At 36.0% G+C, this 25,196-nt stretch overlaps 1 protein-coding gene across 9 annotated transcripts in view; it reads right to left on the bottom strand.

The window, feature by feature from the left end:
• Positions 1-25,196, bottom strand: part of NKAIN2 (sodium/potassium transporting ATPase interacting 2) — a 1,021,776-nt gene that overhangs the window by 865,162 nt on the left and 131,418 nt on the right. The window lies entirely within an intron of this gene.

Here is a 25,196-nt window from a genome sequence, read left to right as displayed (position 1 = left end):
TGACAGCACATGGAAAAAGAAGCTCTCTGGATAGAAACTCAGAGCTTCAAAGCCTGCTTGGTGGTGTAGACACTGAGTACATCCTGGAGAGAACATAGAGAAAATCTAGAGGAGAAGAGGTCCCTCCACAAAGCAAGTGATGACAACAGCAAGGGCTTACTGGGCACAAATGCAATGGTGGAAATGTGGAGATGGATGCCCGTTAGCATTTAACCAGAGACCGCAACCTGATGGCCATTAGCCAATCACAGCTTACACGTGTCTTTAATTTGAACAGTATGCTGCACAGTGTTGGCTGGCAATTTTTTTTAGAAAGTAGAACTAGATGCCAATATTCAATATAGAATTTTTACATAATATTTTCAGCTTTATTTTAACAATTATACAAACTTGCATCACAGCAAACCCACATGACAAATCAGCTGGAACTTCCAGTGTTTACCTCTTTAGATAGGCAAAAGTTCTCATTTCCTAAATTCCCACAACTTTCAAGTGTGAATGGTGTTACACACACACACACACACACACACACACACACACACACACACACACATATATGGAAGACATATTTCCTTCTGCTCTGACTCCGGAAGAACTTGCACTGTTGCCTAGGCTGATAATCCCCGAAAAAAAGTAACAAATGCAATTGTACCCCCCACCCCCATATACAGCCCTCATATATATATATGAGAGAGAGAGAGGAAAAGATCATGAGACATGTCTTCTAGGGAAAAAAAATTCTAACTTCCCTAGCCACTGTAGTCATTTGAAACCTGAGTTAGACTATGAGTTAGGAAGTATTTTCATAGAGTTCAATTAATATATTTCTGCTCTATGCATGATGCTAACAGGTTTAAGAAACACAAAAGCCAAACCCAATAGAGAATCCATTTCTTCATTTCAAAAGGGTATGAATATACCCCTTTGGCAATCACAATGGAAACTGAAGAAGTATCATGTTCAAGGACACATAAAGAATTGTTTTTACAACAACCACTTTCCAAAAATAAGCATTGTAAAGCGAGTACAGTGGTTGCCAGTGTTAAATCTATGTTTCTCACTTCTTTCTTGCCTAGTTGCCTGAAGGACTCCTGGCAGAGTAGGCCGCCACAATGCAGGAAGCCATGGACCACTGGCCCAGTGCTTTCTGATCCACTGTGTGCTACAGGGCAAAGAGCTCCACATGGCTCCATGATATTAAAGAGGCATTTATAGAAGCAGATTCACTCTTTAGACCACAGCAGACTCAGCACCTTGCAACTTCAACGGATTAAATGGTTCCAAAGGGAGAATGCTATCCTCTAATTCTTCTACCAAGTAGACACCTGGCAAAACCTGACTCATTTTCTAGACCCACAGACCTACCACATATATAAACCCCTCTCACAAACTCTCTTTCCTCTGTCATCTTCTCCCGGTCCTTAGCCGCCAAATACTCACACTGATAACTTGAATAAATCACCCACTTAGGGATGAAAGCTTCCCTGGGATTGGTTTCAAAGAAAAGTCCTCAATAATGTAAGCTACCAATGGCCTATAATTGCCAAGGAAACTATTAGCCATTTGGAATTTGTTTTCTCATTTGTAACAGTAACATTTTCTTTTCTTCCTGGTCTATAAAGAATAAGCATTCATTCTTTCACTCATCTGTTAAACAAATGTTTATTGGTGCACTGATTACTGTTGTAAGCTCTGAGGTTGACGTAGCGATTCAGCCTAGGCCCCGCCTTTCAAGAATCTTACATCAAGACAAATACATAGATGAGGAAATATGTAATAGCCAGTGGTAAGTGCTTGCTATTACGGTCTGAGTGTTTGTGTCCTTCCAAAATTCATATGTTGAAATTTAATTACCAATGTGCAAGTATTAAAAGGTGGGGCCTTTGGGAGGTGACAAGGCCATGAGGCCAGACCCCTCAAGAATGAGATTAGCGTCCTTTTAAAAGAGGCTTGAGGGAATTTGTTTGCCCCTTTGCCTGTCCACCATGTGAGGACACATGAATCCAAAATTCAGGGAGACTCAAACATTAACTACTCCATGAAGGCACTGGTGGCCAGGTGTAACAGATGGCTCCATGTGCACAGAGGTGACGGAGCAGACACTGCTGTCCCTGGGGCATCCTGCCTCACAGGTGCCTTCATGGGGATAAGGCTAATGCATGGGACAGTATATGGTTTCAGATTTGGTAAACCTGTTTCTTTTCCTGATGATTTCTGATGATTTGCAATTTTTTTTTTTCCTTCAAAAATTCTCTTTCAGTTTCCAAAGTCACACGTACAGGAGAACTCAAAAGGGCCTAAAGATACCTTCCTACACTGGTCGGTGTCCTAGCTATTGGAGGGCAGAGACCCTAAAACTGCTCTTCTTTCTGCCTTTTCAGGGCCAGAGCTTGGGTGGACAATAGATATGATTAACAGAAGACACACTAGCAGCAAATATGCCTTCTCCCCCTAAAATTACTACCAGTATCATAATGTAATTAGTAATATTATCTTTATATTTTCTTTCCATAAAACATAGTCAATCCAACCTAACCATAAGAGCAGCATGCCCACATTAAATATTGTGATTGACTGGAATTTCAGTAAAATGTATCATGTAATAAAAACACTAAGGTTTAATGTAAAAAAGAAATTTAATTTTTCAAATTGTATTTTAACCTCTTTTTTATCCTCTTATTAATTACTTTAAGAAACAAAGATTTTTTGGGTAATACATTAATTTAATAAGGCATAATAAAGACACACCTCTTCTAGGAATAAATTATAGCAGAAAGTAGATCATTCCTATTGTGTAACAAGCCAGTGCTGGATTAATATATTTGTAAACATCTAAATTGAAAACAAAGATTGTGTTAGGAAAATAAGAGCTGGCGGTTGAGTTGAAGAACCTTGAAAATAATTAGATATATAATCATTTCTTACAAGTAAAGACTTTTTCAAAATTAATTTGTTTGATCTAGATCTGTTAACAATAATTGAAAATACCCTATATATTGAAAAATCTAGACATACACCATTTAATTGCATTCATGTATTCAACGAATATATTTTATTTAATTCCTATAATGTAACTAGTGCTGTGCTAGATGCTGATGATACAAAAATAAAGACCCAGACATCTGCTAAGGAAGTCACTTTAGTGTGACCATTTTTGAAAAGATAAAGAAGAGGTGGTGATTCAGTATAATGATGATTTACTTATTTTTAAGTTAAGTATCAGTGAGGTGTTTTAACTAACAATATTTTTCTATAGGCTGAAAATATTTTTGTATACTATGCTGTGCTTTCATAGCCTAATCTGACCCCAATTTATACGCATAAAAAATGATTGATTTTATGATGAGAACACATGGACACATACAGGTGAACAACAGACACTGGGGCCTACCAGATGGTGGAGGATGATGATGGAGAAGATCGGGAGAAATAACTAATGGGTACTAGGCTTAACGTCTGAGGCATGAAATAGTCTGTACCATAAACCCCCATGACATGAGCTTACCTTTATAACAAATCTGCCCGTGTACTCCTGAACTTAAAAGTTAATAAATAATAATAATTGATTTTGTACAGAAACTTGGCAATAGGATCACAGAAGTCTTTAATTGAATTTACTTTTATTCTCTTTGCACTGATTCACAGAGAGGCTAGCTTGAGCTCTTGCAACAAATGCTATATCATTTCTGAGGTGTAGCCTTTTCTTTCTCCTAACGCAACTTGTAACTTGGATGGAACTGTTACTCCCAGGAAATTCCGAGAATCTCCTGACTCAGAACTGGAATGAAGACACAACAATGGAGGGGATATCCCCACATACTCACCTGTTTTATTCATCAGCTCAGGCTGCCATAACAAAATACCACAGATGGGGTGGCTTAAATGCAGAAATTTATTTTTCCAAAGTTGTGGAGGTTGGAAGTCCAAGGTCAAGGTGCCAGCAGGGTTGGTTGCTGGTGAGACCTCCCTCCTCAGCTTGCAGAGGGGACTACTTGCTACTCCTTACACAGCCATTCCTCTATGTGTGCACACGTAGAGAGAGTGTGCGCTGGTGTTTCTTCCTTCTCTCATAAGGACTCCAGTCCTATTGGGTTAGGGTCCCACCCTTATGACCTTATTTAATCTTAATTACATTTTTAAGGTTCTGTTTCCAAATACAGTCACATTGGAAGTTAGGGCTTCAACATATGAATTTTCACGGATACAATTCAGTCCATAATGCAGATCTTTCAGAACAGATGTTATCACTCATGAAATAAGAAATAGATACCGGTTTTCCTTTTTTCCTTCCTTTTTTCCTTCTATTCTCCCAAGTCAAGCATCCATGTATTTTTAAAATAATGCATCCAGCATTTTACATGTAATTACGTAAAGTTTAAGAATGAAATACTGCTTTTAAATATTGATGTTTAAATGTAGTTCGGCATGGTAGCTCAGATTCTCCCAAGTTAAGCATCCATGCATTTTTAAAATAATGCATCCAGCATTTTACACGTAATTACATAAAGTTTAAGAATGAAATACTGCTTTTAAATATTAATGTTTAAATGTAGCTCGGCATGGTAGCTCACTCCTATAATCCCGGCATTTTGGGAGGCCAAGGCAGGAGGACTGCTGGAGGTCAGGAATTTGAGACCAGTCTGGAAAACATAGGAAGACCCCCCTTCTCTCCAAATAAAATTTAAGTTATTCAGGTGTGATGGCATACGCTTGCAGTCCCAGATACTCAGGAGAATGAGGTGTGAGAATGGCTTGAGACCAGGAGTTCGAGGTTGCATTGAGCTATGATTGTATCACACTGCACTCCAGCTTGGGTGACTGAGCAAGACCCTGTCTCAAAAAATAAAATAAAATAAAATAAAATAAAATAAAATAAAATAAAATAAAAAATGTTTAAATGTAGCCCCACAGTAAATGTTAAGGGGTGACACAACTGCACATTTGATTTTTTGCAATTTTCTTCAGTACTCTGTACCTAATTGTTTTAGTAACAAAGAATTTGTGGAATGAATAGTGTCTCATGCAAAGTTACCTAAATATTTAAATTCTAAGCAATTGAACATGAAAGTTAAAGATTAGAGTGACTATATACTAACCGTGTGCTGTAACAATCAAATAATGTACATTCACAATTTTCATAATTATTAGTCTGTGGCATCATGATCAGCCATTAATGATAAACAGTTCTCAATAATTCCTACAATTGGTTCTATAGTGTCATGGCCAAACTAAGTCTTTGGCTTTTCTTCTTTCTTTTTTCTTTTTCTTTTTTTTTTTTTTTTGGTTTTTCTGTATCTCCTTGAGAATCAGTTATATACTCTTCTATCCTATGACCACTGATGTCTCATGCAATAAATGAATATTTGCTTAAAGTTTCTGGAAGAATAAATATTGGTATATTTAATCACCTCTATCTAGTTATCTCTCTCCTTTATCCCTATTTCTCTCTTTTTACCTACCCATCCCCTTCTCCCCTCCTCCCCTTCTGTGCTTTACCCCCAGCTCAGTACACCCTGCAAATTACATGTCCTGGATCAGGCTTCCCCTAAATCACTGATTTCTTCTCTGCTGACAGCTTCCTTCACTGGAAAAGTCTTAACACACTCTCCTTTCTCTGTTCTCTAGTCAGAAAGGTGACCCCCTAGGTACCAAAAGACTCAAAACCTGAGCTGAAGGTCAGCAAAGGGAGAAGGCAGTGTGATACCCAACAATAAACAAGCCAGAGAAAGGATCTGGAGACCCTTCACTCAGCATCTCAAGGTTCTGAGGGACAGAGTAAGAGAATAGGTGGAGGTAGATAAAGTTACTCTTTATGCCTTAAAAATCCTTTGGGTCTCCAAGATGGCTGGCTAGCAGCAGCTGGTATTCATCCCTTCCACAAAGAAAAACCAAAATAGTGAGTAGGTAATCATACTTCAAATACAATCATCTAAGAGAAAACACTGGAATCCTACGCAGAGGTGACACAAAACACCTAACACAAGGAAGGAGAGGAAAGTGAAGCAGCCTCTTCAGTCATGATTGTCTGGGATTTGGGGGGAGCTCCCCAATGTGGGGAAAGGACAAGAGTGAACCCCTATAGTCCACCATCCTACTGTGGACTTCTATATCCTAGCCATGGGAAAGCCCCTAGGCCCTGATGGCCCCAAAACAAATACAGGGATCTGCCTGAAGACCATAGGAAGGCACTGCTCCAGAGAGGGAGCTCACGCTGTATCCCACACACACCCCGAGTCCTAAATAGCTACAGCAAGGCACCGTATTGAAAAAGCCTGGCCCTCACCAGACTACATCCTGCCCAGGACACAAAACAGCCCTTGCATCTCCACATATCTGGAACCCTCTGGCATGCCTTGCCTACAGTAACTGCTGCAGCTGGCTGCTGCCTCCAAGGTTAAAGCGTGAGTCATTGGAGCATGGGCCACTTCCACATAGGACACCTTTGCCAGGCCCAGTTGCCCCAGGCAGCAAAGCTGTTATGCATATTCAAGCACTTTAAGTGCAAACTCCCACACCTGTAGTTGCTGCTGCAGTGGGCTACAACAGTTGGGGCCAAAGCACAAGCAAAGTGCACACTCCCTAGCCACCTGTATACTCCTGCTGCCATTGAAAGCAAACCTGCCCTCCTCAGTAGCAAGAATGTAGTGCAGTCGCTGCTGCTCCTACCTGAGCATTCTGCCTTGGGCTTGGGGATCATCCATCCCTGCCTACCATAACCAGTGCCTGCAAGCACCACCATGGGACCTGACAAAAGGTCTACTAGGCCTGGCTCCAACTCAAAGGTGTCCAAACATGCTGACTGGGGTTCTAGGGGCCACCCAGCCCAGTCTACCAACAGTGGCTCCTGAGTACTCCAACCAGGGGCCTGAAGTTGGGCCCACCCAACCCGCTGCTACTACCACAGTGGGCACACATATGCACAAACCATCTATAGGTCCGAGGACTGGTCCACCCAGCCCATCACAGCCACTAACAACACCACCATGGACCACTTGGGACCCAGAAGTTATTTCTACCATTATTACTGCCATTGCCTTCACTTGCCTACTGCCCAGGGGCCTGAAAACCCACCAAACTGCCTGGCCCACGGCTGAACTACTGAAATCTGAGCGAGCCACCTGGAGGCCCAAAAATCAGCCTGCCTGAATTCACTAATACCAGTGCCAACATACGCCACCCTGGGGCCTAAGGAGAAGCAGACTTGTCCCCCTGCTGCTACTTCTGGAGCCCAAGGACAGGCCCACCTGTGTCCCATCTGCAGCATAACTTCACCACAACCTCCACTAACAACCACACCTTAAGCCACTGAGGAAGTCACAGACAGGACTGGTGCAGATAACAACCAAAGGAATGATAAGAACACTACACTACTGCATGCACCCAGAATCAAAGCCAAAGTGCCCTACCCAACCAATACCATAGACATAACTTCAGCAAAATGTCATCTTCTACAAAAGTAAATTCAGAATATTGAAAGAAGTAATTGTTATCACCTATGGAGATATCAATGTAAGGATACAAGCAACAGGAAAAAGCAGGGAAATATGTTACCTCCAAAGTAATACAGTGACTCTCCAACAACGGTTTCTAATCAAACAGAAATACATGAAATCCTGGAAAAAATTTCAAATAGAAATATTTTAAAAGCTCAGTGAGATATCAGAGAACAATACAAAAAAATAGGAACAATTCAGGATATGAATTAAAAATTTCCCAAAGAGATATCATAAGAAACAACCAAATAGAAATTATGAAACTGAAAAATTCAGTAAATAGAATAAAAATATATTCAAAAGCTTCAACAACAATAGACTAAATCAAGCAGAAGAAATAATTTCAGAACTTGAATACAGGCTTTTGTTGATATAACCCAGGCAGATACAAATTAAAAAGAATGTTTTAAAAAGAATGAACAAAGCCTATGTGACATGTGTGACACCATAAAACAACAATATATTCAAATTTGAGGTTTCACCAAAGGCAAAGAAAAACTGAAAGGGTTAGAAAACCTATTTAATAAAATCGTTGTAAACTTTCCAAATCCAGCAAGAGACTTAGACATATAAGAATCTCAGAGATCCCCAAAAATATACAATGCAACTTTCTCTGTGGCATACTATAGACAAACTGTCAAAAGTCAAAGAAAAAGAGAGATTCCTAATAACAGAAAAAGAAACACATCCAGTCATTTATAAAGAAACCCCAATCAGACTAACAGGGGATTTCTCAGCAGAAATTCTACAGGCCAGGAGAGAATGAGATGATATATTCAAAGTGCTGAAAGAAAAATTTTTTAACAAAGGGGATTAAGCCCTGCAAATGTATACATCATAAATGAGGGAGAAATATAGTCTATCCCAGACAAGCAAAACGTAAGATTATTCATCACCACTAGACTGTACCTACAAGAAATGCTTAACGAAGTCCTACATGAAGAAGCAAAAGAATGATATGTACCATCATGAAAACACAGAAGAAGATAGAAACCAAAGGTAGAGCAAACACACAAACAAAGAAGAAAAAATTTCAAATGTTACCACTATAGAAAACCGCCAGACTGTACAGATAGAAAAATGGGAAGGAAAAAAAGAAAGAAAGAAAAGGAAGGAAAGAAACATAAAATAACCATAAATCAACAATTAATAAAAGTATAGGAATAAAACCTTACATATTAAAAACAATATTAATGAATATTAATAGGTTATACTTAAGAAATATTAATAGGTTATATTTTCCACTTAAAAGATACATATTGGCTGAATAGACTAAAAAAGTGACCCAACTGTAGTATGCTGCCTACAAAAAAAGAAAACTCATCTCACCTGTTAAAAAAAATATAGACTGAATGAAAGTAAACGGATGGAAGAAGATACTGAACAACCAAAATCAAAAGCAAAGAGGAGTAACTATACTTACATTACATAAAACAGACTTTAAGTCAAAAATGGTAAAAAGCGAAAAAGAGGGTCATTATATAGTGATAAAGGGATCAATTCAGCAAGAGGATATAATGATTCTAAATATTATGCACCCACACTGGAGAACCTAGATATATAAAGCAAACATTACTAGACGTAAAAGGAAAGAGAAACTCTAATACAATAATAATTGAAGAAATCAACACTTCACTCTTAGTATTAGATAGATCATTTACATGGAAAATTAACAAAGAAATATTGAATTTAAACTGTACATCAGACCAAGTGAACCTAACAGACATTTACAGAACATTTCACCCAACAGCCACAGAACACACATTTTTCTCATTAGCACATAAGACATTCTCCATGATCAATCATGTTAAGCCACAGAACAATTCTTAACAAATGTTTAAAAAATCAAAATCATAACAAGTATCTTCTCAGAACACAATAAAATAAAACTAGAAATCAATAAGAGGAACATTGGAAATTGTATAAATAGATGGAAGTTAAACAACATGCTCCTAAATGACCACTGGATGAAAAAATTTCTTGACATAAATAAAAACCAAAGCATAACACACAAAAATCTATGAGATACAAGTGCAGTGCTAAAAGGAAAATTTATAACAATAAACACTTACATCAGAAAAGTAGAAAGATTCCAAATAAATAATCTAATATACCCTTCAAGGAACTACAAAAGCCAGAACAATCCAAACCCCAAATTAGTAGAAGCAAAAGAATAATAAAAATCAGAGCAGAACTAAATGAAATTGGACTAAAAAACAACACAAAGGAACAATCAAATGAAAAGCTGGTTTTTTGAAAAGATAAACAAAATTGAAAAACTTGGAGCTAGTCGAACCAAGGAAAAAAGAAGACTCAAACAAAATCAGAAATGAAAAAGGAGCCATTACAACTGATACCATACAAATACAAAAGATCATCGAGACTATTATAAACAACTACACAGTGACAAACTAGAAAACCTAGAGAAAGTGGATAAATTCTTTGACAGAGGAATTTATATTTCAGAAAGAAATAGAAAACCTGAGTAGATCAATAATGAGAAATGAGTAATTAGACTGTCAGTAATAAAAAATAAACTTCCCACAAATAAAAGTCTAAGACCAGATTGCTTCAATGCCAAATTCTACCAAACTTTCAAAGAAGAACTAGCACCAATTCTCAAACTGTTTTAAAAAATTGGAAAGGAGGAAATTCTCTCTAAGTCATTTGAAGAGGCCAGTTTTACTGTGGTATCAAAACGAGAAAAGCACACACACACGCACACACACACAAATTAAAACTACAGGTCAATATCCCTGCTGAACATAGATGCAAAAATTCTCAACAAAATACAAGCAAACCACATCCAACAGCACATTAAAACGATAATACACCATGATCAAGTGGGATTTATCCCAGTGATGCAAGGATGGTTCTACATATGAAAATCAATCAACATGATGCATCACATCAACAGGATGAGGAACAAAACCACAAATATCTCAATAGATGCAAAAAAATTTGATAAAATTCAATATCCCTTCATGATAAAAACTCTCTACAAACTAGGCAATGAAAGAACATACCTCAACTTAGTGAAGACTACATATGACAACCCACAGCTAACATATTGAATGTGGAAAAGCTGAAAGTCTTTCCTCTAACATCTGGAACAAAATAAGCATGCCCACTTTCACCACTCTTATTCAATACAGTACTGAAAGTTCTGGCTGGAGCAATCAAGCAAGAGAAAGAAAGAAAAAGCATCAAAATTGAAGAAGAATAAGTCAATTTGTCCTTCCTTGCAGATGATATAAACTTGTATCTGGAAAAGCCTAAAGATTTCACCAAAAAAATCTTAAACCGATAAATAAGTCAGTAAAGTTGCAGGATACAAAATAAACATATAAAAATCAGTAGCATTTTTATACATCAATAATGAACTAGCTGAGAAAAAATCAAGAAGGCAATCTCATTTACAATAGTTACAAAATGAACCAAATACGTAGGAATAAATTCAACAAAGTGGGTGAAAGACCTCTATAAGGAAAACTATAAGATACTCATGAAAGTTACTGAAGAGGACAGGAACAAATGGAAAGCCATACTATGCTCACGGATCAGAAGGATTAAAATTGTTAAAATGACCATCCTGCCCAAAGCAATCTACAGATTCAATGAAATCTCTATTAAATTACCAATGCCGTTTTTCACAGACATAGAAAAAATACTACTACTATTCATATGAAACCAAAAAGACCCTGCATAGCCAAAGAAATCCTGAGCAAAAAGAACAAAGCTGGAGGCCTCCCACTACTACCTTACTCAAGTCAGGTAGTATGATGCCTGCATCTTTATTCTTTTTGAAAATATATTGCAAAGCTATAGTAACCAAAACAGGATGGTATTTGTATAAAAACAGGCATATAGACCAATGGAACAGAATGGAAAATACAGAAATAAATCAATGTGTTTATAGCCAACTGATTTTTGATAAAGGCATCAAGAACATACATTGTGGAAAGGATACCCTCTTCAATAAATGGTGCTGAGAAAATTGGATATCCACATGCAGAAGAACAAACTGGACTCCTTTCTCTTGCTATATCCGAAAACCAACTCAAGATGAATTAAAGACTTAAATGTGAGACCTAAAACAATACAACTACTAAAATAAAACATAAGGGAAACACTTCAGGACATTGTACTAGGCAAACATTTTATCGCTAAGACCTGAAAAGCACAGGCAACAGAAGCAAAAATAGTCAAAGAGGACTATATTAAACTAAAAAGCTTCTGCACAGCAGAGCAAACAATCAACAGAGAAAGAGAAAATCTGCTCAATGGGAGAAAATATCTGTAAACTACTCTTCCAACAAAAGACTAATATCCAGAATACACAAGGAACTCAACAGCAAAAAAAAAAAAAAAAAAAAAAAAAAAAAAAATCCCATTTAAGATGGGGAAACGATTTGTATAGAGATTTCTCAGATGACAGCCAACAGGTATATGAAAAAATGTTCAACATCACTAATCATCAGGGAAATGCAAATCAAAACCACAATGAGATATCATCTTACTCTAGTTAAAATTATTTTATTAAAAAGACAGCAAAATAAGAGATGCTGGAGAGGATGCTGAGAAATCCACTAATTTCCATTGGTGGAAATGTAAATTAGTACAGCAATTATGGAAAAGAGTATGGAAATTTCTCAAAAAGCTAAAAATAGAACTACCATATGATTCAGCTATCCCACTACTTCATTTTTATCCAATGGAAAAGAAATCAGTTTATCAAATGGATACCTGCACTCCCATGTTTATTGCAGCACTGTTCACAATAGCAAATATATAAAAGCAACCTAAGTGTCCATCAATAGACAAATGGATAAAGAAAATGTGCTACATATACATAATGAAACACTATTCAGCCATAAGAAAAGAATGAAATCATGTTGTCCTTTGCAGAAATATGGACAAAACTGGAAAATATTATGTTAAGTGAAATAAGCCAGGCATAGAAAGACAAATACCATATGTTCTCACTCATATATGGAATCTAAAAAAAGTTGATTTCATGGAGGTAGACAATAAGAGATACCAGAGGCTGAAAAGGGTGTGTAGATGGTGAGAGCTTGTGAGAATTATAGAGAATTTGGTTAATGGGTACACATACACAGTTAGACAGAAGGAATAGGTTTTAATGTTTGATAGCAGAGTAGGGTGACTATAGTTAACAACAATCTATTGTATATTTCAAAAAAGCTGTAACAGAGGACTTGAAATGTTCCCAGCATATAGAAATGATAAATGCTCGAGATGATAGGTACCCAAAATATCATGACTTAATCACTGCACAGTCTATGCATGCAACAAAATATCACCTGTACCCCATAAATAGGTACAAATATTTGTATCAATAAAAAAACTTTAAAACACAAAGCCTTTAAAGCCCATGTCTGTGGTTCTCTGGCTATGGCTTAAAAAAAGTAGGCAGTTCAGACACATGCTTTTAAGGCCCTAACAGGACTTTGGATCAAAGCTTTCTGCAACACAGGATATATTCTGGTGGTATACAGTATAGGGGAGTGAAGGGAAGAAAAAGAAACAACATAGAGGCTTTGAGATGAAAGAATACAAGTTAATTTTACACAAATATAATATTTGAAATGGCATTTTCTCTCTCCTTAACTTCTTTTCACATAGCCTGGCTTTTTGTGGAAAAACAAGGAAACATATGTTCAGGTTAAGCTGTATGAGTTCATAGTCAGATCTAGAAAAAGTCCAAGTATTGTGTAAACTTTGATATCTATTAGTGATAACAAGCTTCCCAGAACACAGACCTGATCTGAAGACAAAGGGCTAGAATAACTGCATTATGCAGCCATTTATCTTTTTTCACATCAATTGTATCACTAATCCCTAAAGGCACTGTGGTTCCCACAGAAGAAAGGTGACCGCCACAGTACGACTCCCATCCTGTTCCTGAATGTAGGAAGCCAAGCTTGGAGAAGTCAGACATACAAGAGCTCAATAAAGACTCCAGCAGGAAAGGTCTTCCTTCCTGGGTATAACAACAATTAGAACCTCCAAGGTTTGTCCTTGAATGATCGTTTCCCAGTAGGGAGGGACTGCCAATCAATGGCTTTGATTGATGCCTCTGCCTGATGTCTGTTCATGGGGTGATGCTCCACTGTCACCACAGGCCCCCATGTGGCAGAGAACTCTCTTTTGGATGCCCAGGGCAGTGGTGCAGCTGTCTTAAACTTTTACAATTTCCAAAATAAAAAGGCAGGGGGAAAGAAGGAAAATCAACCCTAGAAATCTAAACAATTAGGCTTACAGAATTTATAGGTTTTACTCTATCACAGTATTACAATATCAGATCTTGTTCTGTAGAGGTAGCAGCAAATCAGCAGGGTTGCCTCCTCAATTCCAGTTTTCTTTTGTGTAATACAATCAATGATATAATCATCCAACATAATCTGACAGCTGATTTTTTTAAAAAGCAAATCATCTGAAAATGGTGAAAAGACTTCAAATTCCTTAAGGGAAACATGTTGTAAAATTTCCATGGTGATAATTTCATTAACACAGTGAGAATTTTGAAGCTCCATGTAAAATTAGATTTAAAAATCCAAGTATAAATTTCAGTTAAATCACATTTACCTCATCATGCCTACTAGAGCATATTACTTCAAATAAATATATTTAATGGCATTTTATATAGTCAACATTTAAGAAACAAATGTACAAAACAATTTCAGAGAAATTAATGATGTGTGCCACCTAAATTGAAGACGTTCATTCTGAAAATCATTTACTTAAATGTAAGGCTCTTTTTAATTTTAAGATAAATACTTCACTCTGCTCACCAACTGAATTCCTCATTAACCTAGCAGACTAGAGCAGCATTGTTGTGCAGCTGATAACCCTCCCTTTTTATTATGCAAATAAGACTATACAGGTGGTTACAGATTTTCAAATAACTGTTACTAATTATACATTATTCTCCAATGCCATAATAAAAATGGAATGAACTTGATATTGACATAAGGAAAACGTTAAGTTTAAGGAAATGATACAGTGTCAGAAACAGATGTTACCATAAATTACAGTCTAATAATTTAAGGGTGAAATTGTGCTGAAGGCTCAGTCATCCATAGTGGATTTCTTTATGTCTTACCCAACAGGAATCAGGGTTAAACGTTCTAAATATAGTTTAATCTCACTTGAATTATATCTGATTGAAAGTTGCAATTTGACACAATTGACGAATTTCTCAGAAATCCAATTGTTATGTAGAAATGGTACACTTCCAAGGGTAACTCATGGCAACACAAGTCATGAAGTTCTGCTTGCTAAAACACAAAAAGGAGAAGGGAGTAAGTCAGCTTCACACATTAAAGCAGGACATGCCAAGTGACAGTGGTCCTGGTGAAGCTGCCAAGCTGACTTCAGCATTACTGCCAGATTTAAGAAACACCTGCTGGGACCACAGAGTACATGTTCATAGTCACTCAGTCATTGAGGAAGAAGGTGCCAGGCCTAATTTTGAGGAACTTTAGAGGGCAATGCAGCCTGGATCTCACCTTCTTAAAGGCCCTTAGATTTAAATTTTAATGTTGTCTCTATCTGAATTTTACCACACAGTCACAGACACACTGACATGACAAATTGAAAGCAGTGTTCATATTAAAATTCTTAATATACCACATCCTTCATAAGAATATTAGACATTTCTTCATTTTCTAATGCACCAGAGCCTCAACATTGGAAGTAGCTGGACTAATCTTGACCAGTTAGAGGCTTTGGTAAACCCAGAAACAGGAACTTGAAGACATTGATGAAAAAGATGCACCCTGTGCTAGGTTTAAAATACTGTCATAAACACCATTATTAATAAGTAGGGAAGAAAATATTAGAGTTCAATGTGAGTGCCTTATCATCTTCAGCATTAATAATAGCTTCAATTTATGAACTACCTCTATTTTTCCCTGACTTTATAACTTTGTGCAAATATATAAAATATTCCTATATCTGCAAGTTTCCATACATAAAATCTACATATGTCTGTGTGTGCATGTGTGTTGGGGGTGGGTAACGTGATGGTTTCTAAAACACATTCAATACTGCTCTTATCCCTTAGATAAGATATCAATCCCCCACAGGGTAAGGTGAAATGCTATCCATATCGAGAGCTATGACCTTAACCTAAGAAGTTCAGTGAAAGAGTTTTCAAAAGAATGGGAAATAATGCTTGGAAGTTGCTACTGAATAAAAAAAAAGTCCAAGTCATTGCTGCATCCTTTTTCTTGATCCCAAAGTAAACTCTCTAATTAAACAAGAGATATATTTCTAAAGTTTCTCAAGTTTTTTCTCAAGTTTTATATTTTTCCTTATCAAAGTGTTTGTCACCAAGAAGAGATTATGTTTCTTTTTTTAGGCATCAGTAAACACAGGATGTGGAATAAGGCTACAATTATCTGGATGATATTTAGCCCAAGGAGGGCTTGTCAGTAAGGATTTCCAAACACGAGCACATGATTCCATGAAACTTCCTGAACTAGTTGAGGAATGTGGGACCAAAATAGAAGGCTACACATGAGGTGGGGATAGGGTACTAAAAGACAAAGGTGGGGAGTCAAGGGGAAAGCTGGGTTAGGGTTTCCTTTGAGAAAGTGAGACTAGGTCTGAAGTCTGATTAGGGGTTAAAGTGGGAATCTCATAATCTTCATAGTCTAAGCCACAGGATCTGCCATTTGAAGAAGTGATTTTTATCCTAATTCCTACCAGGTTGGGATGGCAGAACTGGAATGAAGGCTGATGACAAGGCTATCTAGTTTTGCTGCTTGCATCAGAAACTAAGAAAGGCACTCCAGAAGTGAAAAACCAGGGGAAGGTATAAGTATTGAAGAAGAACAAAGGACTGACATGTCTTTTTTCCTTCCTTTAGGTCCAGCAATCTTTTAAAGAAACCAGAGTTATTCCCTAGGACTATAGAGAGAACATCAAAGACTCCCTTTGGAATCAATTAATGCCTGCAAATAATATTTATCTAAAATTTCACTCAAGGATATATGATTGGTAAATACTTAAATTCAGTGAGGACCAATAACACAACTCTGTGAACAAAGTGCTTGTGTTTGCTTGGTTTTTAACATTATTACAATATCACTAACCATTTGGCAAATTAAAATGGTATTATTAAACTAAAGTGTTCTGACCCTTATAAAATATCTCCAAATTTGCTCTTCCAGTAGTTCAGCTGAATACCTAGAACAATGGAATACCCAAGGAGGTTGAGTATACATTAAAGTCTATTTTCAATGAAGTGGTGATAACTATTAAGCTCAAGGTGACTTTTCATAGAAAAAGACTAGCAGTACAGTGCAATGACTATGAGTCAGATACTTCATATGTTATCTCCTAAAATCTTTCCAACAACCCATTGACATGGGTACTTATTTCTATTTTAAAAACTGGAAGACTGACTGAGGCTGCTTTTAAGAAGCATAGTCAGGAGCTGAATCCAAGATTGCCTATGCCAAAGCACTGTCCCCTTTCCACAAGGGGACAAAGAATCACCTCCAGGAGAATACTAGGATTCTTAAAGATGATTTTATCATATCTTTGCAATGACAGTTTTCCTAAAGGAGTCAGATAATAACACAAGTCACAAGAAAATGTTTTGAAACAGTAACTTACTATTTAGGGTGAAAACAAGCTGTATATATCTGTCCCAATATTCAAGTATTTGAGGAAAGAATAATAGGCATATTTAATAGGTGATAAGCACCTTAGAAAAATCTGGTTGTATTGTACACACTTACCAATTATAGCTCAGAGATAACCATAGGTTCTTTTATAAGCCCAGTGGCTGTTAACTATTATAATAGTTTATCAACTGTATTCCTTTCCAACTACTCTTGATAGAAACGTGTAATTATTAAAACTATCAACGTAAATGCATTTGAATTAAAACAAACCACACTGTAAATTTTATGGCCATAAGTTTTGTAATGCACATGGGATTGAATAATATGCTATAAACTGACTGCTTTAAGAGAGAAAATATAGCTTATAACACAGCAGCTAAAACCTAATAATCGTTTAGTAAGAGTACTTGACTCAATTATTGTATCAATGAGCACTCCTACAGGATGAACTGAGTTGTGGTTACAATGCAATCTTAAATAAAAAGTGAGTCCTTTAAAACAGATGCCAACTGTTGTGAAGCTATTGATAAGGTTTGTTAATTTAAATCATGGCTCATAGGATTATGTTTAAGAAGCCAGTCTTCCACGATGACAAGTCAAACCTTGAAATCGCCTTCATAGTCATGAAACCCTAGAGCTATTCAAGACCCTGAGATGTCCTTCAGCTTTGGCCAACAAAAATATCAGCAATAAGTACTGCTCGCATTCCACCTGCAGCATAGTCTAAATGAAGGTAAATAAGGCATTCATGCAAGAAATTAACACATGGCAGAAAATAATACTGAGCTCCAGGGTAAAATTTAGTCTTGCGTCAAAAGTAAAAATCAATGAATGTAACTTAAGAATATAAAATCTCCAACAGTACCTCATTAGTGTAATGCAGAACTTTACTCCAGGGACAATTTTTTAAAAAGGGTTTATTTTAATTTTATCATGCTCTTAAACAAATTCTTCAATGTCTACAACTATAAGCAGGAAAACTCTTTAACTCTTTAACTCTTTTATTTAATTATTAAATATCAGTATTACGTATTATTCTATTAGTATTAGTCATTCATTTGATTATTCCTATTCTGCTGACTTAAAATGTAAATGAACATTCTGTTCCAATATGCTCAATTTTCATTCCATTTCATAAATGAAAAAATAATTTCTCATGTGCTCCTCAGTAACAAATTTTAGACTATGAAACCATTGGGACAACTGTTCTTAGGACTCATCAGCAATACGTAAAAAATAAAGTGATCTAATTTTAGACACATAAAATGATGATGTTAGCAAAAGTCAACTAGCTATTTAATAATGCTGCATCTTTAGAGTGCTACATACTAGCTATTTTACAGCTATTTCTGATGCTTTGGGGGTGGATTGCAGAACCACAGAGTATAAAGTCAAGTCAAACTGAAGCTGAAGTCCAAGGATAGAATCTGCAGGGAAGGGATTGGTAAAAAAAAGAGGTGGCACACAGCAACAATTTATGGGTGCATGCCTAAAGTATGACAGGAAAGGGAAGAATTGACGCCATAGATACAAAAGCCAATCATGGGGAATTTCTCATACATCTTTTATCCAGGCTTCTTTCTGAACCCCGAAGCAGAGCAACAGATTCTTGGAAATGCTATTCCTGGAAGCTATGCATGTAACAGCAGGGCAGATGAATTGTTTTGCTTGATGCTGCTGTGCTGATTATAATATTTGTGTTTGAAGTACCTTCTTTATATATTTATATACATAGTCGTGCACCATAAAATGATGTTTAAGTCAACGACTTATATATATGATGGTGATCTCGTAAGATTATAATGGGGCTGAAAAATTTCTATCAACACCATCATAACATAGCGGTGAGAGGCATTACTCATGTGTTTGTGGTAACACTGCGGTATACAAATCTGTGCTGCCATGGGACAAAAATACAACAAATACAATTATGTACAGTATATATAACACTTGATTATGATAATAAATGACTATATGACTGGTTTACCTAATTATTATAATATAATTTATTGTAATTTTAGAGTGTACCCCTTCCACTAATAAAAAAAAAATATTAAGTATAAAACAGCATCAAGCAGTCCTTCAGGAAGAATCCCGGAACGAAATGTTATCAGGGCAGACTTGTTATCAGCTCTACATGTTATTGCCCCTGAAGACCTTCCAGTGGTGTAAGATATAAAGGTGGAGGACAGTGCTATTGGTGGCCTTGACCCTGGAGAGGCCTAGGCTAATGTGTGGGTTTGTGTCTTCGTTTTTAACCAAAAAAGTTTAAAAAGTAAAAAATAAAATAAAAATTTTAAAATAGCAAAACGCTTATAAATTAAGGACATAAAGAAATAAAAAATTCGTAGAGCTGTACAATGTGTATTTTAAGCTAAACTTTATTACAAAAGAATCAAAAGTTTAAAAATGAAAAATTTTATAAAGTAAAAATATTACAGCAAGCTAAGGTTAATTTATTATTGAAGAATGAAAAATTTTTTAAATAAATTTAGTGCAGCCTAAGTGTACAGTGTTTATAAAATCTTAGTGTACAGTAATGTCCTAGGCCTTCGCATTCACTCACCGTGACTCACTCACTCACTCAAAGCAACGTCCAGTCCTACAAGCTCCATTCATGGCAAATGCTCTATACAGATGTACCATTTTAAATCTTTTATATCACATTTTTACCTGTAGCTTTTCTGTGTTTAGATATGTTTGGATACAGGATACATACATACTTATCTTTGTGTTACAAGTGCCTACAATATAGTAACATGCTATACAGGCTTGTAGCCTGGGAGCAAAATGCTATATCATATGCCCTAGATGTGTAGTAGGCTGTACCATCTAGGTTTGTGTAAGTACTCTCTATGATGTTCACACAATGACAAAATCATGTCACAACACATTTCTCAATCCCTGTCATTAAATGATGCATGACTGTGTGTGTGTGTGTGTATCTATATATATACATATACACACATACACATACACATATATATATATACACACACAGGCACACACACACACACACACACAAACCAAACACACACATAAAATACATGTAAGTGTAGGGCATTCAGAGCACAGCTTACGTGATTTTTTTGTGCTTTAAGTGTTTTTGTATGATTCTAGCCAATGGTGGTTAGCCTGGCCAACTAAACTGGAATTTTGTCTCACGAGCAGCAGATTCCTAGCACTCTCAGCCAACAGTGTTCCACATCCTTATCCTGGGTCAAGTAATTTTTTAATGTATGCTTCTCTCACTATTATGTCCCTTTCTGCCACTAATTAAGCACTCTGGGCCCATAAATGACTGACAAATAGAGGCTAGACCTGCTACCAGAAAACACAAAGAAACTGCCTATCACTGGGTTTCAGCATGCCTATGTTAAGAAGGCTCCAGGTTTCTTCTTGCAAATGGTTGAATAAAAATTAAGTAACAATCTTCAAGGAGTTTAGCATTGGTAGAAGAATTCTGTCATTATGGAGAGCACCGCTGGGACAACACACACTTGCAATAACTGGAAAAAAAAAGTGTGGCTGGAAGAATCATGACTTGAAAAACTGGAGATGGAATAGCACAATTGGGAACGAAGAATTCATCTTCATAGGAACTAAGGCAGCATTTTCAAACTGTAGGTTCTGATCTACTTATTAATGGGTCAAAAATCAGTTTTGTCAATCACAACTTTTTTTTTGTTTTCAGTAAGTAATAGTAAAAAATTGAATATGATAGAAAATATCAGAGTGCATTATTCCCAGTAAACTACTGGCCATATGATTTTTTCTTCATTTATAATTTATGTATTGGTGGTCATACATATGTATCTATCCATGAGTCACATTTTACAATGAATGAAAGTCAGCAGCTTAAGCAGAAACTACCATAAGTATTGCTAGTTAGTATCTCTGTTTTGTGGAATGTGCTGCCCAGAGTAAATGGGTTATGAGGATATGTAAATGGGTCCACTGGTGTTACAAATCTCAACTTGAAGAGTGTGCGGGGTAAGGCATTAGTTTACCTGCGCAGACTAACACTTGGTATGTATATTGAACACTGAGCCCCTGTGTGCTAAGTGCCACCCCTGCACTCTCTGCAACTATCTTTATTTTTGGGCTCCAGTTCAGTTTCCTGATTGGCACTCTATGACTTCATTAAAATTAGAGACTTATTCAGAACCCCAAGCCTCTTGGTTGGAGTCTTAACATTGTGTCTAGATCCTTGCAAACTCTTGCTTCCATTTTCTAGATCCTTTTACTTATACTTCTAAAGTCTGACTCGTAATCTGTTCTGAAAATCAACTACAGCTATAATGTCTCCTGACATCCCAGAATCATTGCCTGATTCTTAAAACCTCCCTTTGCCTTATCTTAGTCACCAAAATTTTATTTCCTGAGAGATAGGGCTGGACTTTACCATGCTCTTTGAATATTCTAGGCAAGATTAATGACTGTTGCTTAAGAACTAACCCACCATATGGATGAGTTCTGCATAGCAATGTCCACTGTTCCTTCACAAACATATACTGCTTAATTCCTAATATATTCAACAGAGTCTGGCTAGGTTAAGACAGTTACCAGTCTAACTTTCCATGATTCTATAGATGGACTCTTTCTCCCATATTTTTAGTATCAAGTAGGATTGCAATAGTCAATAAATGCAGGCCATTCTCTGAGTCTGCCATAGGGAAAAAATTATATATAATATATAAAATATATATAATATATAAAAATATATATAATATATAAAAACTATATAAATATATATAATATATAAAAATATATAAATATATAATATATAAAAAATATAATATATAAATATATATAATATATTATATATAAATATATATTATATATTATGTATAATATGCGTGTGTGTGTGTGTGTATATATATATATATATATATATATATATATATATATATATATATATATATATATAACCCTTGCAAATGAGTTCTGGTTTCACGGCAATTGCAAATTGTTCTATCTCTGGCCACTTGACTGAAGAATTGTAAAGACAATCACAGTGAAACATGAAGTGTTCAAATAAACTTCTAAGAAGTCAAAATAACTTTTTAAGTATGTTTTCATGGCATCTGCCCTTCCCTTTTTAAAATCTCTTCCCCTAGTGTTTAAAATGAGCTTATTCAATTCTAAGCCATGAAATCTTATTTAGCAATGCATTAGACTGCAAGTGACAGAAAATTCAGCTAGCAGTAGCTTGAACAAATAGAGTTTTGTTTTTCTCACCAAAGAAGACTGGATGGAGGTAGGTGGCTGCTATCAGCGGTTCAGCAACTCAAACATATCAGGACTGAGATTTCAGGGATTCTTGACCTTTTCGTGTATGTTCAAGGCCCAAGAGGAGCAAGGGAGGAGAAAGGACACTGCTGGCTACAACTGACCCCATTCATAATGAAAACAAACACTCTTCAAGAAACTCTTGGAGCAGCTTGAAGGGAGCACATGGACATCTACAGCTACAAAGAAGGCTGTGAAATTGAGGAAAAGTACTGTCAAGATTAACTGAGCTAGATAACAGTTCATTGCTTGTGCTGCTCACATTGATACCCCAAACAAATTGGGCTCTATTAAGAATGAGGGCAGGGAAAATGGGCATCAAGTCACGAATTAGCAGAGCTTACCACTGCAGGCCGTCCCTAGCTATGTAGTCAATGGCTCAGAGAAATGCAGATATTTACTATTATTTTTCATAAATGGTTGAGTCCTTAATGTGTAATTTATCAGCACATATTTATTGATCCGTAAGTAATGATGAAGCAATTTATAGAAAACGTTGTTCTTCTTTTCACACGCAGTCGTACACTCTCAATGTTTTTATTATATAAACTGGAGCAAATAAGTGTCAATGCATGGGCTCAATCTCAAGTTTTAAAAGAAAGCATTCAAATTTAATTAGAAGAGTAAATGGAAGATGACTGTACTTGGCATAGAGATACCTGGAGTCCATTTCCAATTGTGCTGCTTATGAACAGAGAAGTCCTGAACAAATCAAAATCTTTTCTAGAAATCAAGACACATCCAATGAGTTAAGTTGAATTTAGTGATAAATTTACTCTAACTCAAAGCATGGTTTTAACTTTCCAGAGTAGAAGAGGTGATTCCTGAGGTATGAGGCAGAGACTAGACTTGGGCTTCTTAAGGCTCATATACCTATTATGTTAAAATATCCTTAATAACACACATTTCCAAAAACCTAATAGCAGAACAGCAAATCATTTTGTGGTGGTGGTGGTGGTTTGCTGCTCCTAGATTTTTGGAGCTGGCCGCTATTTTTGAAGTGTGACAGAGTACAGTAGTCACAGACCTGATTGTTTTTTCTCTAGAACTTAACAGGGAATAATTAGGTTTCAGTTTTTACTTATGGCCAGATTTCAGTAATGAATGCCCATTTGTATTGAAGAGGTTTACATTTCACAAAAACTGCTGGATCAGTTCAGACCGAGAGTATTCCCACTAGAATAATAGTATTGAACACCATGTACTGTAATATTAATTCATTTTGTTATCCTGTCTTTTGTTCACTGGATGATAGTTCCATAAATTGCTCATGCAATTTGTGGAGGTAAATCATAAAATTTAGTGGCACACAAATAACAACACTTCAGCATAATCAGCCCTAACATCAAAAGTCTTGTTTAGTTCCTGCCAGTTAACCAAAATATTTCAATGTACATTTTGTCTTCATTTAAAGACTTAATACATTATCTTTATATTATTACTCCTCTTCATTTTGTATCTTCGTTAAATTATAGCATATTATAGATATATAACTTTTGTTTTATGCCTGTCGGCATTTTATTTTAGGGCTGCTTTCTTCCTGTGGCATCTTTTCTTTGACACTGCAGATATTTCCATGTAGAAATTTTTCTTTTCCTTTAGATTCTGTTCTTAAAATGTATTATGCATTTTGTCCCACATCTCAATATATAAAAGCAATAATAGGAGTAATTAATGTTTTGCCATTTTACTTCTAGTTTATGCAGAATAGTCATTTGATTATCAAACCCATCTAGGGTCCGCAATTAGACCGAGTTCCACAGCTGCTCTCTTCTCTTTTCCTATAATGCATGTTCCTTTCTTTGGAGCTGTTGTTTTCCAATGTGTGCGATGCACAATGCTCAGAATGCATCTTCAAAATAAATGTGGTTTCTCTTTCTATCTTCAAGGCCAAAATGAAGAGACACTGTATTGAGCTTTTCAGAATTAAAGTGGCGCTTTTAGTGCCCATATTTTTTTGTAATAGTGGATGCAGTCAGCAACTTTGTCAATTCGGTTGTCACTGTCACACTAGGCTTTCCAGATGTTCAAGTGCAGAAATGTCATGAAACACCACAGCAAGGATGCATTTCTTTTTATTCTTTTATGCTTTTTCTTGTCTATTTTTTTCCCTAAAGAAAGAGTGAACAAAAAAATAGCCATGGCAAGTATGGCTATTCACCAGTCTCCTTAAATGCCTAAGAAAAAAGCACAAAAGAACCTCCAGAATACTTCCAGTGATTATTAATATAAATGTAGCACAGTTTCCATGGTTGGAAAATTAAATTTTAATATTTGAATTAGATGACGATCCTGTATTAACTCTGTTAGAACTTAAAGACCTTTTATCTATATGATTAAATGACATTAGATAACTGATATAAAAAGATTAAATTTATTTTTCTAAAATTAGTATAGTATTGGAACATATTTATCTTTTTAAAGAAATCTTTTTTCTAATAACATTTAATAAGATTTCCATTAGCACTAAGCCTTAATCAAATACACTCTTAAACTTAACACATTCAAAAATTTATAAAATAACATTTGAAGCTGGAAGAGGGCCTTATAAATTATCTAGATATACTGATAGTTTATAAAAAAAAGTGATGATGTTAATTAATGTATTGTAAGAATATCACATGCATGCACATTGGTGTGTTTGGGAGAAACACATTACTTTCTAATTTCACTTTATAAATTAATGGCTTTGACAGTCATGACAGACATTCTAAGCCAAACACTTGGATACCACCTCATAATTTCACACCTC

This window comes from Homo sapiens, chromosome 6, assembly GCF_000001405.40.
Source record: "Homo sapiens chromosome 6, GRCh38.p14 Primary Assembly".
Lineage (NCBI taxonomy): Eukaryota > Metazoa > Chordata > Mammalia > Primates > Hominidae > Homo > Homo sapiens.
Note: the sequence above shows the minus strand (reverse complement) of the source record. Positions and strands in the feature narration are given on the sequence as shown.